General features: G+C 37.5%; 1 annotated feature.

The window, feature by feature from the left end:
* Window positions 631-1,132: an enhancer, noted in NCBI's record as "NANOG hESC enhancer chr12:126727348-126727849 (GRCh37/hg19 assembly coordinates)". NCBI's record gives its function as "activates a minimal SCP1, AML or CMV promoter by ChIP-STARR-seq in naive H9 embryonic stem cells {active_cell/tissue: H9 hESC(naive)}" and the evidence as "EXISTENCE:reporter gene assay evidence [ECO:0000049][PMID:30033119]".

The following is a 7,802-nucleotide window of genomic DNA, read 5'->3' on the forward strand; positions in this document are numbered from 1 at the left end:
GCATCATTGTATACATATATAAATAAAATATTTCTTCATTTTCATATATTAATAATATATTTATATGATTATATATATATTGTAATGTTTTCAGACATTGGACATTAGGCAGAAGAATTCTGTGACTCCTGTAAAAAGAGAAATGCCTGTGGTGAGTCTTGCAATTGTTCCAGCTTTCTGCCTGGGGCGCTGGCCAGTGTGCAATGCAGAAAGGGGATTCCAAGTTTATAGAACATGGTGGTTTCTGAGGCAGGGAGACAGAGATTGGTTTTGGGAGGCTGAACTATCTGAGCATCAGGTTATGGAGCTGGAGGAAGCAGCATCATAGGGGTCATGATCATCTGCTTCGGAATTTAAATTCTTGGATTGAAAACACAACCCTATGCGTTATTAGCTTAGTGACTCCAGGAAACATCCTCCACCTCTCATTGTGTACTTCGTACATGTATAACAGTCAGGACTGGTACCCACCTCCTGTGGGGGAGTCCTACCTGGGCATGGCAGCAGCCCCTCCGCAGGTCATGACAGTACTGGTGGATCCACCCAGGCCTCACTTCAGAGCTTCCACTCTTCTTCTGCCCCCAAGGAAAAGCTGGTCTCAGAGGGCCCTTAGAGTACATCTAGTCCATTCTCCTCATTTTTGTAGATGGTAAAACTGAGGTTCAGAGAATGGAAGCAAGTTGCTCAATCTTCCCAAGATAGTGGCAAAAAGGGAAAAAGATTGAAAGTCTCAGAATTCTTAGACCAGCGCCATTTCCATGCAAGCAGATGCGGTCCTAAACTGTACTTACTTTTAAGGCCCTTTTTATACTGGTGAGCCAAAGTTGAATTATGTCTCCAACTCAGCATAAAGGCTTTAGAATAGTTGCTTATTTTCATCCTAACAAAGGCACAGATGCAGGGCCATCAAATACAGATGTGCTGGTTGCATACTGCACAACTGTAGAGGGCACATTTACATCATAATCCAGGTGAGTAACACTTCCCCAAGGTTTTTTTTTCTTTTTTTTTTTTTTAAATCAAACGTACTCTGTATTTTACCTAAGAAAACTTAGACTAACTCAAGGATGCAAAAGTTTTTCTCACTTTTTTTTCAAGAAATTCAATAGTTTTAGATTTCACATTTATATTTGGGATCCATTTGGAGTTAATCTTTGCATATGGCATGAAATGTGGATCAAAGTTTATTTTTTGCGTATGGCTATTACATTGTTCTAGTATTATTTTTTTAAAAGAATATTGTTTTTTAATTTAATTGTCATTCCAGCTTCATCAAAAACTGCATGTAAATGGCTTCCCATTTTAAATTATAGCCAGTGTCAAATATTCCAGAAATAAATACACTAACTAAATAAAGCAAGAGCTATTATTAATTTTAACTTTACTCCAAAACCCATTACTGACAAAATACCCTTGATGCAGTTTGAAAATTCACCTTTTCCCATCTTTCATCTGCAAGAGTGCTTTCTAATAGCAAAGACTGCTAAAACTAAGGGGAAAAAAGACAAGTCTCAGACTGTGAAAAATAATTGAAAAATCACATATTTAATAAATGACTTGTATTCAGAATATATAAAGAACCCTCAAAACTTAATAAGAAAACAAACAACCCCTTAAATGTGAGCAAGTTATTTAAGAAAGTGTTGTACTAAAGAAGATGTACAGATGGTAAATTAAGCACATGGTTTAACATCATGAGATATTAAGAAAATGAGAAATTAAGAAAATTAAATCCACAGTGAGATACCACTACACATCTATTAGAGTACCTAGAATGAAAATTGACCTTCCCAAGTGTTAGCCAGTTATGTGGAGGCACTCCAACTCTCAAACCCTGCTGGCGGGAATGTAAAATGGTATTTTACTTTGTAAAAACAGTTTGTCAGTTTCATAAAATGCCAAACGCAATGCAATCATAATGTTAAGGACATTATTTTTATTTACAAAGGATCTATGAAAAAATAAGAACAACGGACTGTCTTTACATACCCTCCATCAAAAGACCAAAGAAGAAAACAAAAGCCGAGATGTGGCTTCTGGCTGTGTCTTTACATGGTGGAAGGGACTAATGAGCTCCCTGGGGCCTCATTTACCAGAGCACTAATTCCATTCACAAGGACTCTGCCTTCATGACCTAATCATCTCCTAAAAGCCCCACTTTTTAATACTGTTGCATTGAGGGTTAGGTTTCAATATATGAATTTGGGGTGGGGGACACCAACATTCAGAACATGATGATATTTTACTGAGAAATAAAAAGAAGCTGAAGAAAGTGTTATCTCTCTTGGCTACATAATTCTGCTGAATTCCCTTTTGTAAGGGATAAGAGTGGTTAAGTGAGACAGAGAAAATATAGACCATAAATCAGAATAATTGTATCACTTTTCTGTCTGCTTGGCTCAGTTTTTTTTTTTTGACAAACTTTAAAAATTAGGCTAGGATTGCTTTTGAGTTTGAAACTTTTTATAATTCATTCAGCCATCTCTAAGTGCAAGTAAAATATATAGTATTCTAAAAAAGAGGGATATAAATTTAAGTTTGATTGAAAACACAGTGGGAGGTAAAGTGTTTGGGCCATTAAGACATAAATTATCATTTGCATGAAATAGGTGAGAGCTTGGTTCTAATAGAGCTGGTATTAAATCAGATTAAAATTTCCTGGGTCTGATTATAAGTACCTAGGCATCCTCTTCTCAAATACCCTCAATATTCCATAAATTCTCATCCTTCCACCAGTAAAAATGTGTGTGATGAGGAAGATTAGTTTTAAGGTATCCTACACAAATTATTTCTTTCCATTTTGATCGAGTCTCAACATGATACATAGAGTTAGCATACATTTTCAGATTTGTTTCTACAGAGTTATCTGCATGAGAAAGTCAAGTTTTAAATGACAGTGGTTCCTGGGAATAGATGTTCCAACTTGTAGTCAGCTTTCTGTATTAAATTATTTCATTATTGTTTGAAAAAGTCATTTTCTCATTCTTTTACACTATACATCATATTTTTCCTTATTTTTTACACTTTTTGTTATCATTTTCTCTCCCCAAATATTAACCAAAATACATTTTGGTGTAACTACAGGATGCAGAGTAGATGACAGTATTACATGAGCAACTGATGCTGACTTGTCAACTTAAAAACCAGCACTGAATTCTGTGACCACTTTTATCCCTGTAGGTTGTACAGTGGTAACATCAAAAGAGGCTTCATGAAAGCCTCCTATGATACTGTAATGCTCCAGAGGGGTACTGTCCAACAGAACCTTGTGCAACGATGTAAATGTTCTATACGCATGCTATCCAATATGGTAGCCAATAGTCACTTGTGACAACCAAGCCACTGAAACGTGGCTGGTGCAATCAATTAACTAAATTTTTATTTTTAAAATTAATTTCAATTTAGATGGCCATATGGATATTGAAGCTAACACATGAAATAACACAGGTCTAGAGACATTTACATCTAACTTCCTGGTATGGAAGAAAAAAATAGTAATTCTTACCTTTACCAAGAAAGGTATAAGTAGCATACCTTCTGTCTTTCCTCTTAGTATAAAACTATTGGATGGAATATGCTATCTTTGGTGACTTTAGTTAATAAAAAAGACCATTTGTTAATTGATCATTGTGGCCCACAATATAACTTACTGTTTATAATCAAACTTTCCTCTCTATGTCTGTTGTAGGTGTTATTGGACATCAACCTAGTATCTGGTCCATCTAACTATGTCTGGTTATCTGGTTACAGAACTGCGGTAGACTGATATGTTGGTTCCTTTATCACTTGACTTACTATTTCCTTCCCCTAAAGCGGAGGTATGTATGCAGGCCCCTTGAATTTTGGTTCATTTTGCTCCTTGCATTGCCCAACAGAATGAAGTGATAGTGTTGCTTTGCCCAATCAAAGCCTGGGCTTTAGGAAGCCTTGTGTGTTTTCACTTGCTTTTTGAGCTTCTGCCTGCTCTGTGAGAAGAACAAGGAAAGAATGGTCTAATGTCCCAGGAGGAGTATAAAAGACAAATGAGGCAGAGTGGTCCAGTCAAAGCCAACATAGATTAGTCAGCTTCCACCTTTCCTGACACTTGAGTAATAACATTTTTTGTTGATTTTCTTAAGTAGTTTTTATTATAAAACAAACACAAGAAGGGGCAAACAAAACACATAATAAAATGGTAAACCTGAATGTAATCTTATCAACACTTACATAAAATCTAAATGATCTTAACTCACCAACCAAAAGATAGAGATCATAAGATGAATTCATGAAAGAACCAATTATACATGATCTATAAGAAACCCATTTATAATAATGACATAGATAGGCTAAAAGTAAAAGGCTAGCAGAAAATATACCTTGCAAGTACAGAGCAAAGGAAAGATGAGTTAAATTAATATCAGAAAGAGTAGACTTTAGAACAAGGAAAATTATCAGGATTATAGAAGGTCAGTACATTAGGATAAAATGGTCATTTCACCAAGGAGATATAACAGAAATAAATGTGTGCATCTATTAGCAGAGCTACAAAATACATGAAGAAAAATGAATAGAATTGAAAGAGGAAATATACAAGTCCACAACTACACTTGAAGACATCAGTACTCCTTTGTCAGTAATTTATGGAATGAGTGGGCTGAAAATTAACTAGGATATATAAAACCTATAAAACATTATAAATCACCTAGGCCTAATTGACATTCATGGAACCTTAACACCTGTTAAATCCTGGTTAATTTAATTAATTTCTGTGAGCCTCATTTTCTTCTATAAAATCAGAAAATTTAGACAACCTACTGCAGGCTTTTATCATAAAGATTAGGGATAATGCCTATAATGTACCTGGGATATGATATTTATTATTCACCCATTCTTTCATTCAACTAGTAGTTGATTGCCATCTGAGTACCAGGCACAGAGACAGACATTAACAATACAACAGTACATATGGTAAAATTGTGCTTCAAAAAGCAAGTAGTGAGAGCTGCACACATTATCCATATCATCACAAAAATGAAAAGGAGGTACGCATTGCTCTAAGAACCTGCAATAGGGAGATTTGGTGTGGTCAGGTCAAAGGGAACTGCCTGTGCAAAGGCTCAGTGGCTGGAAGGAGTGGGGGTTGGAGGACCTGAAATCGGATGTGTGTGGCTGGAGGTTTGTGGTGCACAAAGAGTGGTGGATTTGAGGCTGGGGCCATAAGAAGGAGCTACTCGTGCTGTAGTTGTAGGATAGATTCAGGCACTTGGATTATATCTCAAGGGAAATAAGCAAAGGCCCTTAACAGACATTTCTTAAAAGAAGATGTAAAAATGACCAGAACATATATGAGAAGGTGCTCAACATCACTAATTATTAGGAAAATGCAAATCAAAACTGCAGTGAGATATGGCCTTACACCTGTTAGGATGGCTATTATCAAAAAGACAAAGGATAACAGATGTTGGCAAGGATGTGGAGAACAGGGTAGTCTTGCACACTGTTGGTGAAATGTAAATTGGTACCACCATTATGGAAAACATTATGTAGTTTCCTCAAAAAATTAAAATAGAACTATGCAATGATTCAGCAATCCCAATTCTGGGTATATATTCAAAGGATGGAAATCAGTATGTTAAAGAGATATCTTCATTCTATGTTCATTTCAGTGTTATTCACAACTGCCTAGACAACCTACATGTCTGTTGATAGATGACTGTTAAGAAAATCTTATATATACAGACAGTATAACATTTTTCAGCCTTAGTACAGAAGGAAATCCTGAAATTTGTGACAATATAGATGAATGTAGATGTTATACTAAATGAATAAGCCAGACAGGGAAAGACAAATACTAAGTGATTTCCCTTCTATGTGGAATCAAAAATAGTCAAACCCATGGAAATAGAGCATAAAATGGTGATTGCCTGGAGCTGGAGAGTGGAGGAAATGGGAAAATGTTGGTCAAGGATCACAGAGTTTCAGTCATGCAAGATAAATACATTCCAGACATAGAATACACAGTATGATGACTACAGTTAACAATTCTATCTTGTCTACTTGAAATTTGCTAAGAAGTTGGACCTTAAGTGTTTTCACCACACATAAAAATGCTACTTTTGTGAGGCGATGGGTGTATTAATTAGCTTAACTGTGATAATCACAGTTTTACAGTATCTATGTATAACAAATGATCAAGTTGTACACCTTAAATATATACAACTTTTATGAAATTATCTCTCAGTAAAGCTGAAAAAGCAAAAGAACAATGGGAAGCCAGTGGAGGATTTCTTGTGTGGTGATCATATTTGCATTTTCCCCTGGCTGTTAGGTGGAGAGTAGCTGGGAGAAGGGAGATGGTCAGATCAGGGAGGCCATTTAGGAGATTTGGGCGATGTGCAGGTGAGAAATGATGATACTTGGAGTCAAAAATGGCTCATGCTCTCTTTCTTTTCTGCAGCTACTGACTGAGGTTATATCCTTCATGCATGTTGTCAATGGTGCTGGCACTTAGGTCAGGAGGAAAGCTAAACTATGATTCTCTAAAATGAGCATCGCAGGTGGCCCGGTGCTGTATTCTTCTTCTTCTTCTCTTCTTCTTCTTTTTTTTTTTTTTTGGCAGAGTCTTGCTCTGTTGCTCAGGCTGGAATGCAGTGGCACCATCTCAGCTCACTGCAACCTCTGCCTCCCGGGTTCAAGTGATTCTCATGCCTCAGCCTCCCTAGTAACTGGGATCACAGGCACACACCACCACACCTGGCTAATTTTTGTACTTTTAGTAGAGACAGGGTTTCGCCATGTTGGCCAGGATGGTCTCAAACTCCTGACCTCAGATGATGCACCCGTATGAGCCACCACGCCCAGCCAGTGCTGTATTCTTAATGCTGCCTTTGGATCAGTTGCAAGATCGCAATGTACAATATCTTTGCTAGTACCAGGCAGTGTCAGAAGCAAGCTTGCTCCCTTGATTAGCTGTGGGTCCACTCATTCAGTAAAACACTTACTGAATTCCTGGCATCAGGAAGGCCAGTGGCTTACTTCAGAGCTGGTGAGAGCTTCTGGATTGGACCCTGGGTCATTGTGTCTTTGAACACATTTTCTACATTCCAGTACTTTCTGTCTTGCAAACTCTGGAATTCAGTGAATCCCCAACTCTCCTCACCCTCAGCAGCAGATAATCCACGTGTAAAAAGACGTTTTAGAAACAGAGTTTCACTTTGTTGCCCAGGCTAGAGTGCGGTGGTGTGATCGTAGCTCACTGGAGCCTGGAACTCCTGGGTTCAAGTGATCCTCCTGCTGCAGCAGTAATGTAGAGTTTGAGCAGCATAACTCAGAAGAATAGAGTTTCTGGACTTTGAGAGTTGTGGATATTTTCAAGAGTATAGCTCTCCGTTGGGTCTGGAAACCTATATATGGTATAGGCATAAAAGGCATTGATTTTCCTTCTCTGGTGTCCTAGCCCTGCACATTCTCCCGTTTGGGCTCATCCGTTTAGTAAATGAAGACGGCATTGGCATGACTAGACTTACTCCAGTAGTAATTATTCTGAGAACTTCCTTCACGGTGCCCACCTTGGCTGGGGTCGTAGGAAAAACAGCCAAAATCTAAGTCATATTTACATATGCTGCAAGAGGCTTTAGTTTGTCCTCTTGCAATCTTGAATTTTGTAATATTTGAAAAAAATTAAGTTGCACAAATGATGCTGATCTGATCACCCAATGTATGCCCGACTATGTACTGTGGTTCCAGTGATGGAGAAAAAAGAGGTCTTTTTCAACGTGACCTATCAGAACTGAATCTTAAATCTTAAATTCTGGTAGAATTTT

Source organism: Homo sapiens, chromosome 12 (assembly GCF_000001405.40).
Source record: "Homo sapiens chromosome 12, GRCh38.p14 Primary Assembly".
In the NCBI taxonomy this organism is placed as follows: Eukaryota; Metazoa; Chordata; class Mammalia; order Primates; family Hominidae; genus Homo; species Homo sapiens.